Raw genomic sequence first — 15,844 nt, 5'->3', positions numbered from 1 at the left:
CTTGCTGATGGATTGGGGGTAGCGGGTTAGGGAAAGAGAGGAGTCTGGGACAACTCCTATGTCACTGAATGCTATTTCAATGGCATGGGGAAGTCAGGGTAGAGGGGGTTCAATTCACTCTGCTGAGTTTACAACACCCATGTGAAGATAGCATGATATGCAGGCAGTTGGATAGAGGCATTTGGAGATCTGGGGAGAAGTTAGGGCTGGAATGGAGATGTGAAGGTCATTGGCCGTAGATGACAAAGTTACGGAAGTGGATGAGGCCCTTGGAGAGTTACTGGCTAGAGAAGCAGGTGGGCCAAGGGCTGAGTGTCGGGGCACGCCAGCACGCAGAAACATAGGCCAGTGGAGGCGGAGGAAAACTGGGAGGAGGCAGGAGCCCAATGACCAAGAGAAGGACGCACTTCAGGAAGGACAGAGTGGGCAATCATCCTGAACACTGTTGAGAAATAACACAGAAGAGGAACAGAAAACTTACCTCTGACTTTGGTGATCATTAGGAGGATGGGAACTTGGGAACTTGGATGAGTGTGACCACAGAGATGTGGTTTTACTCCACGTGGAGCAGTAAGCAGGGAACGAGAGATAAGGAAGTGAAGACTGTGGCCCTGGGCAGCTCTAAGGAAGTTTTGCTGGAGGAGGAGATAAATAGCACTGCAGGGGTCAGCTTACAGTCGCGGGAACCATTTATTGCAGCTGTTGCTGTGAGCACTTCACCAACATGATCCCGTTTCAGGGACTAGGTTTTTGTGGTGTTCCCTGTTTGTCAACTGCCCAGCTACAGCCTCCCTTGCTTTTCTGGGAAGGATGTCTCTCCTTCACCCAACACGTGCGCACGCGCACACACACACTCACACACACATTCACACACAAACACACGCACTCACACACACACTCATACACACACTCACATACACACTCACACACAAATGCACTCACACATGCACTCACCCTCACTCACACTCACACACACGCACTCTCACACACACATGTTCCAGGGTGGGGTTCTGACACTTGAATTGGCACATCACAGCCTCACCATGACTGCAGGTGCTTGGTCCAGGCTAATCTAAGTCACTCAGACTTCTCTCTCTAGATTATGGTGCCTTAGCACGGCTGATTGGCCCACACGTGTCACTTGATCCACTGGGCCAGCTACTACTAGAAATTTGGAATTGGGACAGTAGACAGACACACGTACATACAAACACACACGCACACACACACACACAGAGACTGATGTCTGTAAAAAAAAAAAGCCAAATCTTTTTTTGTTTTTGTCTTTTTTGTTGTTGTTGTTGTTTTGTTTTGCTTTGTTTTGTTTATTTGAGACAGAGTTTCACTTTTGTTGCCTGTGGAGTGCAATGGCATGGTGTCAGCTCACTGCAACCTCTGCCTCCCAGGTTCAAGTGATTCTCCTGTCTCAGCCTCCCGAGGAGCTGAGACTACAGGCACATTCCATGGTGCGTACCACCACACATGGCCAATTTTTGTATTTTTAGTAGAGATGGGGTTTCACCATGTTGGCCAGGCTGGTCTCAAATGCTAGACGTCAGGTGATCCACCTGACTCGGCCTCCCAAAGTGCTGGGATTACAGGCATGAGCCACCGTGCTTGGCTTGTTTGTTTTTGAGACAGTCTTGCTCTGTTGCCTAGGCTGGAGTACAGTGGCGCCGTCCTGGCTCACTGCAACCTCCGCCTCCCAGGTTCAAGCAATTCTTGTGCCTCAGCTTCCTGAGTAGCTGGGACTACAGGCATGTGCCACCATGCCTGGCTAATTTTTTGTATTTTTGGTAGAGACAGGGTCTTGCCATGTTGGCCAGGCTGGTCTCGAACTCCTGACCTCAGGTGATCTGCCTGCCTCGGCCTCCCAAAGTGCTGGGATTATAAGTGTGAGCCACTGTGCCTGGCCAGGAAGCCAAATCTTAACATATAAACCCAGGCTTTTTTTTTTTTGTTTTTTAAATAGGGTCTCCCTCTGGAGTGCATTGGTGCAATCACGGCTCACTACAGCCTGAAACTCCAAGGTTCAAGCATTCCACCCCTCTCAGCCTCCCAAGTAGCTGGGACTACAGGTGCGCACCACCACGCTTGGCTGATTTTTTTATTTTTATTTTTTGTAGACATGAGGTCTCACTGTGTTGCCCGGGCTGTAACCCAGGCTTTCTTTTAGTTTTCTGGCTTTCTCTACCCTGGCTGGGAAGTAGAAGGTGCTGGCTGGAGAGACAAAGAGAGGAGGAGAAACGTGCGCCTGTCTTGTTGTCTCTGGAAGACTCCTGGTGCTCTATGAGAGCAAGTTCCCCTCCTCATTTTAAGGTAGTTTGTGTGTGTTTCCCATTACTTGTGACCGAGAGTCCTAATGAATTCTGTATTATTGCCCCATTTTTCTAAACATTGGAGTTGAGTTTTGGAGAAGTTAAGTAACTTGCCCGTGGCCATTCAGCGAGTGGTGGTGGTTGTTGGAGAGAAGCCAGGTGTGTGGGCTACAAAGCTCAATGCCTCCCACTGCCCATCCCTGAATTCTTCCCCCATATCCTGGGGACAGCGATTTCTACTTTGTCTGACTCCTGCAATTTGGATTCACCATGCAGTCACGGCAACCGTACTTCTCAGAACTCTCACGACAGCTCCAATTTCAAACATTGCCCCAACCCTCCCGCGGGTGCAACAAGATTTCTCAGACCTCAGTCCTGGATGGGCTCAGAAAATACGGTCCCCACTACGATGCTGCCTCGCCTTATTGCCTCACTCTTCATGGTGTCTTTAACGGGACTTGAGGGCTAGAGAGGTCCAGGAAGCAGCCCCAGAGGTTAGCGGGTGCAAGGAGCGGGAGAGGGTCAGGTAGGCACGGGAGTCAGAGAGAATGAAAGGCGGAGAAGAGCCAGGTTATGAAAGAAAAAGGGGAGGATGTAAGACACGCAGAGACTAGATGGAACGAACACAAGCAGCCGCCGTTTTCAAAGGCATATTGAGCTGTGTGAATTCCCTTGATTCAACCCTTTGATGGCTTCCGGCTGCCCTTGGAGGAAGTCCCAGCTCTCTGGCCTTGTTCAGAAGGTCCTTCGAGGGCTGATGCCTTCTCCCTCCCTACCCTCAGGCCACTCCGGCTGCCCCTTCTTTATTCCCCAGACACATGAGCCCCTGGGACCCCTTGGATATCTGCTCCCACTCATCCTCGCTGCCTGGGGTGGTCTTCCTTCCTCTCCTCTCGGCCTGTGCAGCTCAGTCCAGCCGTCACTTGCTCAAGGAGGCCTCTGCCTCAGCCTTGATTCCCCTGAGATGAGGGCTTACTGGCATGTTGTTTATTTGGGAATATGATTCTTGGAAGTGGGAGCAAGGAAGAAGGGAGTGAAGCAGGGAAGGAGGAAAAAGCAATATTGGAGGCAGCTGCAGCCACAGGCACTGGCGCTTTGCCCCATGGGGTTGTATAATGTGCACCTCAGGCCTGCCCCCCAGGATGAAAGGGAAAAGCCTCTGTGCATGGGCTCCTGTCCCCGTCGGTCCATTGGTCGGGGTGCCTCCAAGGACGTGAAGTCGCCCACTCTCCAGGATTGCACAAGAGCGAGAGCCCTCAGATGTTTCCTTCCACCGTGACAGAGGGCCTCAGAGTCACCGTGTAGGCTGAGGCCAGGCACTGCCCTATGGCACCTATGGGAGGCTGGTCTGTGCAGGACTGGGAGCTGCAGCAGATGATGGGGTAGGAGGTGAGGCCAGGGTGGCATGGCAGGTGCTGGAAACACCTTCCCTGACTGCCTGCCTCCAGGCTGTCCCTGTGAGTTTCACTAGCTCAGCACCTCCTCACTTGTCGTCCACATAATGCCTAACACAATTTGTGTTTAGTTTATGTTTGTTCACCTATTTTATATTTGCCTTCCACTCATATCGGCTTGCCATCTTGTCTCACTGCAGCCTTGATCCCCCCAGGCTCAAGTGATCCACCTGCCTCAGTCCCCCAAATAGCTGGGACGCACCACTATATGCCAGGCTGATTTTTGCATTTTTTGTTTTTGTAGATACGAGATTTTGCCATGTTGCCCAGGCTGGTCTCGAACTCCTGGGCTCAAGTGATTATCCTGCCTCAGCCTCTTACAGTGTTGGGATTACAGGCATGAGCCACTGCACCTGGTGGCATTGATTTTTTTTTTTTTTTTTTTTTTTTTGAGACAGAGTCTTGCTCTGTTGCCCAGGCTGGAGTGCAGAGGTGCAATCTTGGCTCACTGCAAGCTCTGCCTCCCGGGTTCACGCCATTCTCCTGCCTCAGCCTCCTGAGTAGCTGGGACCACAGGCGCCCACCATCACGCCCGGCTAATTTTTTGTTTTTGGTAGAGACGGAGTTTCACCATGTTAACCAGGATGGTCTCCATCTCCTGACCTCGTGATCCACCCGCCTCAGCCTCCCAAAGTGCTGGGATTACAGGCGTGAGCCACCGCGCCCGACCCATTGGCTTTTTTAAGATTGCTTTCACTGCTGTGTGGAGAACAGACTCCAGGTGGGAAGAGTGGGATGGGGAGACCATCCAGGGGCCTCTACTGGGGTACAGGAGAGAGGTGATGGGACAGGGGTCATCTGTGGTGGAGGGGGGTGTCAGATTCAGCATGATTTTGGAGTGGAGTTGATGGGACTTACTCATGAATTAGATGTGGGCAGTGAGGAAGAGAGGGATCAAGGAAGACGTGGGGTTTGGCTTGAGAAGCGGTGGACGTGGGATTTGCTTGGTTGCTGGTGTCCCCTGATGGACAAGAGCTCACAAGATCAGGGCTGAATCTGCTGTGTCCACTGGGCTGCCCCACATTCTGCTGTATGAAGGCGCAATCAATATTTGTTAAATGAATGAATACGTGGAAAAAGACAGCAAGAGGGGGAGGGAGAAGGAGTGAGCAAGAGAGAGCAAACAAGAGGCCCACCAGGGAGGAGCTGGGCCCTGGGCACCTCTGCCCTGTGGAGGTCCTGCCCCTGGGCTGAGGCTCCCACCTTGACATTAGGCATGGTGGTCTTTTGTGCTCTTTGCCCTCTGTGCATGTGAAGGATTGCACTTGCCTACCTCTTTTAAAGTTGGCAATCACTATGCTACTCACTCTAATCAAGAAAATATGAACACACATGTTTCACTTCTGGGCAGCAACTTTCAGAACGGGTGCCTGGTCTGTGACACATCCTTCCCACTGCTGTGGGCAGGGGGAGCACTGGGGGCAGGGGGAGCAAATGTTGAAATAATGCCCTTGCCAGCTTGGCTTCCTGAGAGATCATGATAAGCTGAGCCCCTTGCTGATCTGTGATGCCCATGTAGTCTAAGAGACAAACTCTTATCTATGCTAAAGGACTAGGGTATTGGGGATATTTGTTACTGCAGCTTATCCTATTCTATCCTGACTAATACACTGGAGAAGCTGTCTGGCCAAGGGTTCCACTAACATTATGGGGAAAAGTCCCCCTTTAATTCTAGTGCCTGCTATTCCATCCTTCTCCTGATGAGGCATTCCCTATTCTATTTCTCAGCTACAGCTGCCTCTTCCCTCCCTGGATATGAGATTCCTTCCAGCTGAAGGAAGGAGGCTGTAGATCAGTTGTCAGCTTTGCTTAGGCCTTCAAAATCCTGTTGAGTTCTTAGCTGTGTGTGTGTGTGTGTGTGTGTGTGTGTGACTCCCTCCAGTTGACCAGCCTAAATCAGTGCAGACAGCTCCTGTAAACATCTCTACAGTCTAGAGGGGTTGAGATATTTACTAGGGCTAGTGCTGAGATCTCACACCCAGCTTTGTATTCTGGTGGAGGCTGCTTTAGGAAGAGCTCAGACTTGACCCCTTAAAGAATAGTTGAGTGTCTATGGGCAAAGCTACTTGAGCCCCTCAATCATGACCACTTGACCAATCATCAAACATAGACTTAGGGGCTCCCAGACCCTGGTACCAGGTACTGTGGTCCCAAAGAAGACCCTGTCTTCTAAGTTCTCGAGGCCCAAATAGAGCTATGATGTCCGTCCATGGACCCAAGGCTAAGGACCGGAAGCAGCTTGTCAACAAGCACAGGCCTAGCGATGCATGAGAACTGTGGGGTTCAGCGTAAGAGGAGAGATCATCTGTGTGGGTGGCATAACCAAGAGAACCTTCTGGAGGCAGTGCTTTGGGGGAAGCTGCCTTCTCTTGCTTATATGGACTCAGCTTCCACTAGTGATTCCTTGCCACAGGGACAAGGAATCTGTCATGGTTAGAAAATACCAAGTGCAGTTGGTTGTGGACATTATGCATGAGGTGTAATCAAAATAAAATGGGATCATATTCAGAGGGGAGCAAACAGGATGACAGGTCTGAAAATCAGGACTTTAAAGAAATCGGGGAGGTTCATGAGGCAGAAGATTAAAAGTGGGCTTCGGACCCGCAGGAGGTTGTCTAGTATATCACGTGGAAGAACAGGGATACAGAAAACTTGGCTTAACATCATGTATTAGAGGGTTCCCAGAGGTACAGAACTAATGGGATCTATGTCTATATGAAAGGGAGTTTACTAGGGTGAATTGGCTTGCATGATCACAAGGTGAAGTCCCACGATAGGCTGTCTGCAAGCTGGGGAAGAAAGAAGCTGGTATTGGCTCAGTCCGAGTCCAAAAGCCTCAAAAGCACAAAAGCAGGGAAGCCGACAGTGCAGCCTTCAGTCTGTGGCCGAAGGCCTGAGAGTCCCTGGCAAGCCACTGGTGTAAGTCCCAGAGTCCAAAGGCGGAAGAAGTTGGATTCTGGGGTCCAAGGGCAGAAGGAGCAGAAGGAAGCATCCAGCACCGGAGAAAGATGAAAGCCGGAAGATTCAGCAAGCAAGCTGATCCCACCTCCTTCTGCCTGCTGTGACCTAGCTGCGCTGGCAGCTGAATTGGACGGTGCCCACCCACACTGAGGATGGGTCTTCCTCTCCCAGTCCACTGACTCAAATGTCAATCTTCTCTGGCAACACCCGTACAGACACACCCAGAAATAATACTTTACCAGTTATCTAGGTGTCCTTCAATCCAATCAAGTTGACACCTAATATACATTGGTGCGAAAGGAATTGGGGTCGTTGCTATCACTTTTAATGATGCGCCAACCTATATTAACCATCACACACAGACAGGCAGATTCCAGCTCAAAATCAGGACAGAGGAAACCTTTTACTGGTTGCATTATCATTCCTGAGTCTTCATGCATTCCTTTTGTCACGTGATCTTGTGGGGTATATCTCCCTACCCCATTGGCATTGCTCTTGGCTGTGTGACTTGCAGTGGAATTCTGTTAGATGTGATGCGAACAGAGGCCTCCGATGTCGTGTGGTTTGGCTCATCCTCCTGAGAGCTTGTGGTCTGTCAGAAGAGTGCTTAGGTGGATTCTGGTCTCCAGAGAATGTGTAGACACATAGAGCAGACTTGAACCCAATTGGAACCAAGCTCTACCAAGCCCTCAGCTTGAAGGAGAAACATCTGAGCCACACGCAGACCTATGAGCAAGAAAATAAACTACTTGTTACTTTAAGCCACTGAGTTTTGGGATGGTTTGTTACACAGCATTATAATTGCAACAGCTAACTAATACACCGTCACTGAAGGTGATTAGCCCAGGCTTAAGATAATCTGGTAAGGCATTACAAAGGGCATCCAGCATTGGGTAACAGTTAGGGCTAGGGCATCTTTAAGGTTTTTTTCAGCCTCTGGACCTTGTGGTTTTATGTTCCAAAGGGAGTTGTGGTTAACTCTGCTTGTTGGAGGCTGGTACTTGGAATTCTAGGAGGCAGGATCAATATAAGATTAAAATTTTAAGGTCCACATGGACCAGCTTTGCACCTCCCACCTCATCCAGGCATTTCATGTACCAGTCAAGGTCCAATCAGAATTACATACACCACTCTAAATTTTTAAAGCAGACGGAATTTGGTTACACAGGTAATGGAAAAACTGAGAAACCAAACAAGGAATGATGCAGAAACCCAGAGGTTAGCAAAGGCAGGAAGTTTAACTACTTGTGGTTGGAGGAACAAGGAACAGAGATGGGTCCTTGACCCCAGGGGCTGGGGAGACCCAGCGGGAACCACAGCCAGGGGAGCTGCCTCCTGGGAGCTGGAGCCTCAGAGGAGATAACACCTGCTTCCTGGACTCTGCTTGAAGCAGAGAGGGAGGGAGATGTCCCAACTCCGCTACTCTTGCCCTTCAATCCCCTACCAGTGTCTCCCACTGGCTGAACCCAGCTGACACAGGAGCCTGGGAAATGCTGAGGTCAGCACCCCTCTGAGACACGGAGAAGGGCAAGGGCAGCATAAGGGATGGATTTGGCAGCAAACAGGCTGTGGACCAGCACTTCTGTCCTGTACATGCCTTTAGCAACCTTGTCCTCCTTGGCAGATGGCCTTCCCGTCCACCCAGCTGCTCGGACAGACTCCGGGAGCATCTGCTCCATCCTCTCCACATCGTCACACCTCCATTAACACTAATCCAGCTTGTGGCCTCTTCTCCCAAACGCAAATAGGTAAATATCCTTCTTGCTATTTCCTGTCACCTCCCAGGTCCCTGCAGCAGCCTCTGCTGGTCGCCCAGCCCGCATGTTCTCCATGTTGTCTGTTGCCCATCCATTCTTTTTTTTTTTGAGACAGAGTCTCGCTCTGTTGCCCAGGCTGGAGTGCAGTGGCACGATCTCGGCTCACTGCAACCTCCACCTCCCGGGTTCAAGTGATCCTCCCACCTCAGCCTCCCAAGTAGTTGGGATTACAAGCATGCACCACCACACCCAGCTAATTTTTGTGTTTTTTAGTAGAGACAGGGTTTCACCATGTTGGCCAGGCTGGTCTTGAACTCCTGACTTCAAGTGATCCACCCGTCTTGGCCTCCCAAAGTGCTGGGATTACAGGCGTGAGCCACCATGCCTGGCCTGCCCATCCATTCTTTACCTGGCAACCGAATTGATATTTTCCAAATACAAATCATATGATTTCGTCCCTTTGGTTAAAACCTACCAATCGGCTTCAAATCCAAACTCCTTTGTGTCATGTGGCATCTCTTCTGCTGCCTTTTCAAGCTCAGCTTATGCAATTCTCCTCTGTTCTCACTGTGTTCTGGGCACTCATTAGCTTTTACACAGCTCTAAAGGCCCAGTAAGATGTTTTTGCCCCATGGCCTTTGCATCTGCTGCCTTCTCACCTTTGACTGTAACGAACCACTTGTCCTCACCCTCATGTTTTAGTGGGCATGTCACCTCTTCAGAGACGCCTTCACTGACCACCCTAATGTGTCCCTGTGTGTTGCTATCCACCCCATCACCTGTAAGTTTTTTCTTTTCCTTTTTTCTCTTTTTCTTTTTTTTGAGACAGAATCTTGCTCTGTCACCCAGGCTGGAGTGCAATGTCACAATCTCGGCTCACCGCAACCTCCATCTCCCGGGTTCAAGTGAGTCTCCCGCCTATGCCTCCTGAGTAGCTGGGACTACAGGCACCCGCCATCATGCCCAGCTAATTTTTGTATTTTTGTAGAGATGGGGTTTCACCATGTTGGCCAGGCTGGTCTTGAACTCCTGACCTCAGGTGATCCACCCGCCTTGGTCTCCCAAAGTGCTGGGATTACAGGCGTGAGCCACTGCACCCGGCCCCTTTAAGATTTTTTCATAGTTCTGGTGATGTGCTGTGGTTCTTGTATTTACAGGTTTCCCTGTGTACTCTTTGTTTCCCAGACTGGAATGTAATCCCCAGGAGGGCAGGGCCTTGCCTGGCTTGTTCACTGCTGTGTTACTTGCTCCTCTCTCCATGGCTGCTACAGAGGTGACACTCCACAAATGTGGTTGAATAAAAGACTAAATTCGGACGAGAGCAAGGGACTGAGAGGGGCCAGGTGGCCCAGTAACACTCAGCCAGACCTCTGGGGAAAGAAAAGAAGTTGACATTTCCGTGGACAGCCAAGGGTCAGTGGCCCGATCTTTGTATGGAAAGACTGTGGAAAGGCTGTATCGAGTGTTTGCAAAACCAGGCTCCTGCTGTCACATCATGCTAAAGGGTTGGAGGTGGAGGAGTAGAAAGGTGCTAAATAAAGCCAAATTCTCATTGTCTGCGGTCTTCTGATTACCAGGCACTTAGGCTGCAGTTACACAGTCAGTGGTGATGAGCTGTAATTGCAGGCGTTTTCCATGGTTATTTTTTCCCCTGGAAAGATAAAGTGATACCTGTAATTTCCCAAAAGATACGCTCCAGGCTCCCATCCCCAAGCAGAGGCTGAGCGGCCTTCATTACCCGAGAAACAGGAGCTTTCCTTGCACCTTCCTGGTGAGTAGGTGGGCCGGCTGGGGGTGAGCGGTTCTGTGTCCTGGTCTAGATTCTGGCACTTGCTTCCCGGGTGATGCTGGGCCTCAGCTGGCCTGTCCAGAAGATGGAGGCTGTGTTGGGTCCTCAGAGAAGTGAGCTGGGGATTGGGGATTGAGTCCCAGTGGAGCCCATAGACATTGAGGGAGGAGCTTCCAGGAGCTGTGGTCTGAGCAGCAGGGGAGAATCCAGGAGGCTGGGAGTCAGCCTTAGCCACAGGCGCTGGTGACTTGTAGTGACTTCCATCTAATCCTTGGGCAGAGGCTACCCTCTTCATCCTAAGATACGGCCAGAAAGAGGGTACAGTGCCACCTTCTCCTGGGCTTTCCCCTGTGCCTCCTCAGCTCCTGGAGATGAATCTGAGCTTCAGAAGCCCCTCAAGTTCCTCCAGCTTCATCCCGGTCCTGTTTGCTGGAGTCCTCGCTCTGGCTATAAGATTGCCATCAGAAGTTTGGAGCTTGGAAACTGCCCCATGCCACTGCCCAGTAGTTGAGAGGATGGGAAGAGGAGGATCCCCTGACCTTGCTGCCTAGGGAACTCTGTGCTTCTAGCTCCCTGAGTTGTGACCGTGATTGTGCTTTCCAAGGGGACTCTATGACGTGCTCACCCCGTTGATTGCATGGTGTTTTGGTGGGCCACGCTCAGTGGGTTTCCTGTGAGTTGGGCTGGGGCCTGAGGAGCTGTGCACAGTCTTATTTCAATGAGAAGGTGCTTTCCAGTTCCAAACAGCAGATGTTTCAAAACACTTTTTGGATCCCAGCCTATTTTCAGGGTGGGGATAGCCTGTGCTGGCTTTTGGACTTAGAAAGACAGGCAGGCAGAGGGGAGCAGGGATGTCTGGCTTGCTTCTCTCCTGCCAGCCACCCTGGCTGCTGGGATCTCTGCTCCAGGCCACTTCTGAAGCAGACACGATCCCTGATTACACTGTGCTCTGTCCCCGAGCAGGCCTGCCCGTCACCGGAGGGTTTCTTGGGCTGGTAACACAGGGAAACTTAACATCAAAAGCTCTCAATCATGTGCCACCCTCTCTCTGTTTTTCTTAACCTAGACCTGCAAGGGGAAGACAAATTCCCCACCTGGGTATAAGTGATGAGTCATTCCTCAAAGGTCTGCAGAAAGATTTATCTACTGAGCAGGCAGTCTGCTGCCTGACCTGCATCTGCTCCGCCCCACCTCTGATCCAGGCCAGCCAGGAGACGGTGCCCTGCAGGCTCCCACTGTGACCACACTGATGCCATCTTGCCCCAAGCAAGGGCATACATTTCCCATCTCTGCCCCCGGCTCCTCCAACCTGGAGGATGCTGGTGGGAGCTTCTAAGGTGCTTGTCTGGTCTATGAGCATCTGCAGCCAGGCAATGTGGGGGCAGTGGGTTATTGCCCCCGCCCCTAGTCCTACAGGGCACAGTTCTGGGCAGCATTCTGTGCCATTCATTCTTCAGAGGTCCCGGAGGAAGGAGTTCCTGCTGCTCACAGTAGTGGTCTCAACAGCACTCCTGTGCTGGCTTTCTTCTGTCCCTATGTCACCCTCTTGTTCTTTCATTACTGCTCCCTGGGGTGGCCTCCCAGATAGGACACCCCTACTACAAATGTCCTCATCTCAGGCTCTGCCTTGGGGAGAACCTGGCAGGCTCAGACACTTATTTCAGGGGGTCTCCAGGAGGAACACAGAAATAAAGTGGGGCTATGGTTTCCAGGTGCCAGGCTAGTTCTGAGTCCTGGTTGGTATTCTCCCGGGGACTCAGCAGGGAATGAAATGCCTGCAGCCTGACCTTACCTGTCTCTTCCATTTGGAGTGGGAGTGGGAGGAGGCAGAGAAGACTTGGCACTGACTTGAGTCCCTGGAGCTGGGCTCAGTGGGGTCAGGAGGTGGCCCATGGCCTGGCCACTTTGACGTTGCACAAGGCAGGGCTACAGATGGAGCAAGGCAGCACTCTGGCCTGGTTGAGCATGGGAACGGCTAAAGTCCTGGCCATGTGGCTTGATGGCTGGAGCTCCATCATTTTCCCCAGCTCCAGCGGGGACCCTAGGCAGCCCCGGAGCCAGGGTGATCCACTTCGCTCCCACTCCCTCTTTTGGTTTCCACTTTTCTTGTGGTTTCTCGGTCTGATCCGCTATGTTGGCCTGGTGCATGAGTTTCTCGTTGCTGCTGGAATCAAGATCTGCAACTGGGTGGCCTCAAGCACAGAAATGCCTGGTCTCACAGCTCTGCGGGCTAGAGTCTGAAATTCAGGTGTCGGCAGGGTTATGCTTCCTCCGAAACCTACAGTGCAGGGTGCTCCGTTGCCCTTTCCTAGCTTCTGGTCTTTTCTTGTTATCTGCGGCATTCCCTGGCTCCGTAAGGATGCATGTATAACGTATCGTTCCAATCTCTGCCTCCATTGTCATACGGCTGTCTTCTCTTTGTGTCCACATTTTCCTCTTTGGCTAAGGACACTGGTCATATTAGATTAGGGCCCAACCTAACCACCCCATCTTCACTTGATTGTGTCTGCAGAGACCCTATTTCCAAATAAGGTCACATTCATAGGTACTGGGGTTTAGGAGCCCAACGTATCTTTTTTGGGGACATAATTCAACCCATAACACTGAGTGTATTCCTGGTACATTGGCAACTGGGCTGGGCTGGGCTGTCCCAATCAGTTAGCCCTGTTTCACCCAGCCCAGGTGATCAAGATAGTGGCACTGCAGGGTGGACAGAGGTGGGCACAGATGAGAGATAGGGAGTGCATGGGATGGGCTGGGCATGGATGTTGAGGGGCAGGGACCAAGAAGAAAAGTCAGGATGCCTTGGCTTCAGGAGTTTTTTTGTTTTTTTTTTTTTTTTTTTTTTGAGATGGAGTCTCCTTCTGTCACCCAGGCTGGAGTGCAGTGGCACCATCTCAGCTCACTGCAACCTCCGCCTCCTGGGTTCAAGCAATTCTCCTGCTTCAGCCTCCTGAGTAGCTGGGACTACAGGTGCATGCCACCACACCCGGCCAATTTTTTTTTTTTTTGTATTTTTATTAGAGACAGGGTTTCACCATATTGGCCAGGCTGGTGTCGAACTCCTGACCTTGTGATCCACCCGCCTCGGCCTCCCAGCCTTCAGGATTTATGTCTGCTTAATTGTTTGAAAGTGCTGCTAGCATTGAAGTGGAGCAGACAGGGGTATAGTGACAAGTCATAAGACCCAGCTTCCTCCCTGGGCAGGTGGAGACCTCATGTCACAATAGGTGTTCCGGCCTTCAGGATGGCGTCCAGCTGTTCGGGGAAGGGTCTCCCATGAGCCCCTTGAAACCTTCTTTGGAATAGGGTGATCCACCACCCTGGCTTTCGAGGATTTTCCTGGTTTCAGCACAGAAAGACCCGCATTCCGGGAATCCACTCAGTCTTGGGCAAACCAGTCCTTTTGATCACTCCCTTGGGGAACTCAGGGAGCTCTGGCCGGGCAGTGATAAGAAAAACATCAGGTCAATAAGAATTACACCCTGGTCACCGAGGAATGTGTGTGCCGCAGCCGGGGCATTCCTGGTGGCATGAAAGAGGAGGAAGTGGCCTGAGAAGGCAAGACAGGTTCTGCAGGGGAGGTGGGGTGGCGGGGGGAGGGAGGACTCAAGGCCAGGGAGCAAGGAGTACACTCCCTTCCCTCTCTCTTAGGTGAAAGGCACCCTGGTCTCATCAAATTTAGATTAAAAGAAGTCATTCTGTTGGAACGCCTGCTGCTCTGAGAGGCTGCTGTATTTCTCAGTCTCAGGCACTCCCGCCTCGTCTGCATGTGCGGACTCCCGGCCAGCCCTCCATCTCCCTCAACGCCCCTGCTTCTGCCTGGCTTTCCCAGGCAGGGGCCTTGCCTGGGGGAGGGAAAGTGGATTTTCTCTTTCTGATTCCTAATTTCTCCTTTGTTCTCAGACCCATAGTCTCTGTAGCACCCCCTGGGTGATGGGGCCCATATTATAGGGTAGAAGACCTTTTGGGTCTCAAGAAGCTGCCCAGACCCTGGAGGCCACCTCAATCCCTGAGTAGCTCCCGGTCCATCATTTCCCGAGAGCCCAAATAGAACGCAGTGTGAGTGTGTGTGGGTGCTGGGATGAGGTGGGGGTGGAGCAGGTGCCAAGAACAATGGCTTCATTAAGAGGCTCCCACAAAACAGAGATCTTCCAAGGCTAATGTTAATTGCAACCTGCAAATGCAAACATTTCTGGGATGATGAAGAACCCCGCAGGAGGGGAAGCTGAGGACCTTGTCAGCTGAGCGCAGCCAGGGAGATGTGGCCGGGCTGCTTTGCTCCCAGCAGGGCCATCCCTTTGCCCATTTTATCCCAGAAGTGCAGGGGCCCTGAGTGGGCCTCTGAGTGTGGGGCAGCCCCACAGCTGCCCTCTGAGCAAAATGCTGGGTTTGTCTTAAGTGTTCCCATCAACTTTCAGAAGGTTTTCCTCGTGCTGTTTAGGCTGGGGATATGGCTTAGGTTTGGGTTACTGTACACCTGGACAGAGATTCCCAGGGAGGCCGGGGAACAGCATGCGGAATGGGAATAAATGAGGTGGGACAACAGCCCACTTCTTTCCTTCCTTTCTTCCTTTTCTCCTTCCTTCCTTCCTTCCTTCCTTCCTTCCTTCCTTCCTTCCTTTCTTTCCTTCTTTCTTTCTTTCTGTCTTTCTTTTTTGTTTTCTGATACAGGGTCTGGCTCTGTCACTCAGGCTGGAGTGCAGTGGTGCAATCATGGCTCACTGCAGCCTCAACCTCCCAGGCTCAATCGATCCTCCCATCTCAGGCCCTGAGTAGCTTGGACTACAGATGAGCACCACCATGCCTGGCAAATTTTGTTTATTTTTTGTGGAGATGGAGTCTCACTTTGTTGCCCAGCTGGTCTCAAACTCCTAGGCTCAAGAGATCCTCCTGCCTTGGCCTCCTAGAGTGCTGGGATTACAGGCATGAGCCACGGCGCCTGGCTACTTCTTTTCTTAAGGGGTTGATCTATGCTTTCACTCAAGAAGTACTTATAGAGCATCTGCTGTGTTCCAGAAACAGATCTAGTCATTTGGGATGTATCAGCGAACCCAACGGACAACCATTGCTGCCCTCATGGGGCTTACATTCTAGTGTGGAGCTCAACCTAACAATGATCATAATAACTTAGGAAGCCATGTGGTACGTTAGAAGTCCACAGTGATATTGAAAAAAAAAAGTAGAGCAGAGAGTAAAAGGAATAGGATGATGGGGAAGGGTCAGGATGGGGAGTCGGTTGCAGAATTAATAATGTGGTCAGGGAATGACTCGCTGTGGAGGTGGGATTGGAGCACAGCTTTGGAGGAGGTGAGCCATGGTTCCCTATGCAAGCCCTGTGGGTGGCCCATCTTTGACTTGCACCAGGCAAATGATGCTTCCTGTTTCTCAGCGCCCAAGCCCTCCTCATTCAGGACTCCTGCGAGAGGAACTCAGGAACAGGTTCCCTGCAGGGAGATGAGCCTGTGTCCTGTCCACCTTGGTTTGAGGTCCCAGATGGAGACAGTCCTCTAAGAAGTTCCAGAATGGCTTCTTGGGATTTTTGGAAGCCACCCCCTCTTCCTG

General features: G+C 51.4%; 3 annotated features.

Annotated features, from left to right (window-relative positions):
* Positions 423–924: an enhancer, noted in NCBI's record as "NANOG hESC enhancer chr17:72159526-72160027 (GRCh37/hg19 assembly coordinates)". NCBI's record gives its function as "activates a minimal SCP1, AML or CMV promoter by ChIP-STARR-seq in primed H9 embryonic stem cells {active_cell/tissue: H9 hESC(primed)}" and the evidence as "EXISTENCE:reporter gene assay evidence [ECO:0000049][PMID:30033119]".
* Positions 12,215–12,769: an enhancer, noted in NCBI's record as "H3K4me1 hESC enhancer chr17:72147681-72148235 (GRCh37/hg19 assembly coordinates)". NCBI's record gives its function as "activates a minimal SCP1, AML or CMV promoter by ChIP-STARR-seq in naive H9 embryonic stem cells {active_cell/tissue: H9 hESC(naive)}" and the evidence as "EXISTENCE:reporter gene assay evidence [ECO:0000049][PMID:30033119]".
* Positions 14,284–14,785: an enhancer, noted in NCBI's record as "H3K4me1 hESC enhancer chr17:72145665-72146166 (GRCh37/hg19 assembly coordinates)". NCBI's record gives its function as "activates a minimal SCP1, AML or CMV promoter by ChIP-STARR-seq in naive H9 embryonic stem cells {active_cell/tissue: H9 hESC(naive)}" and the evidence as "EXISTENCE:reporter gene assay evidence [ECO:0000049][PMID:30033119]".

The sequence above is a fragment of the Homo sapiens genome, chromosome 17, assembly GCF_000001405.40.
Source record: "Homo sapiens chromosome 17, GRCh38.p14 Primary Assembly".
NCBI classification, from domain to species: Eukaryota; Metazoa; Chordata; class Mammalia; order Primates; family Hominidae; genus Homo; species Homo sapiens.
This window is presented reverse-complemented; position numbering and strand designations above follow the sequence as displayed.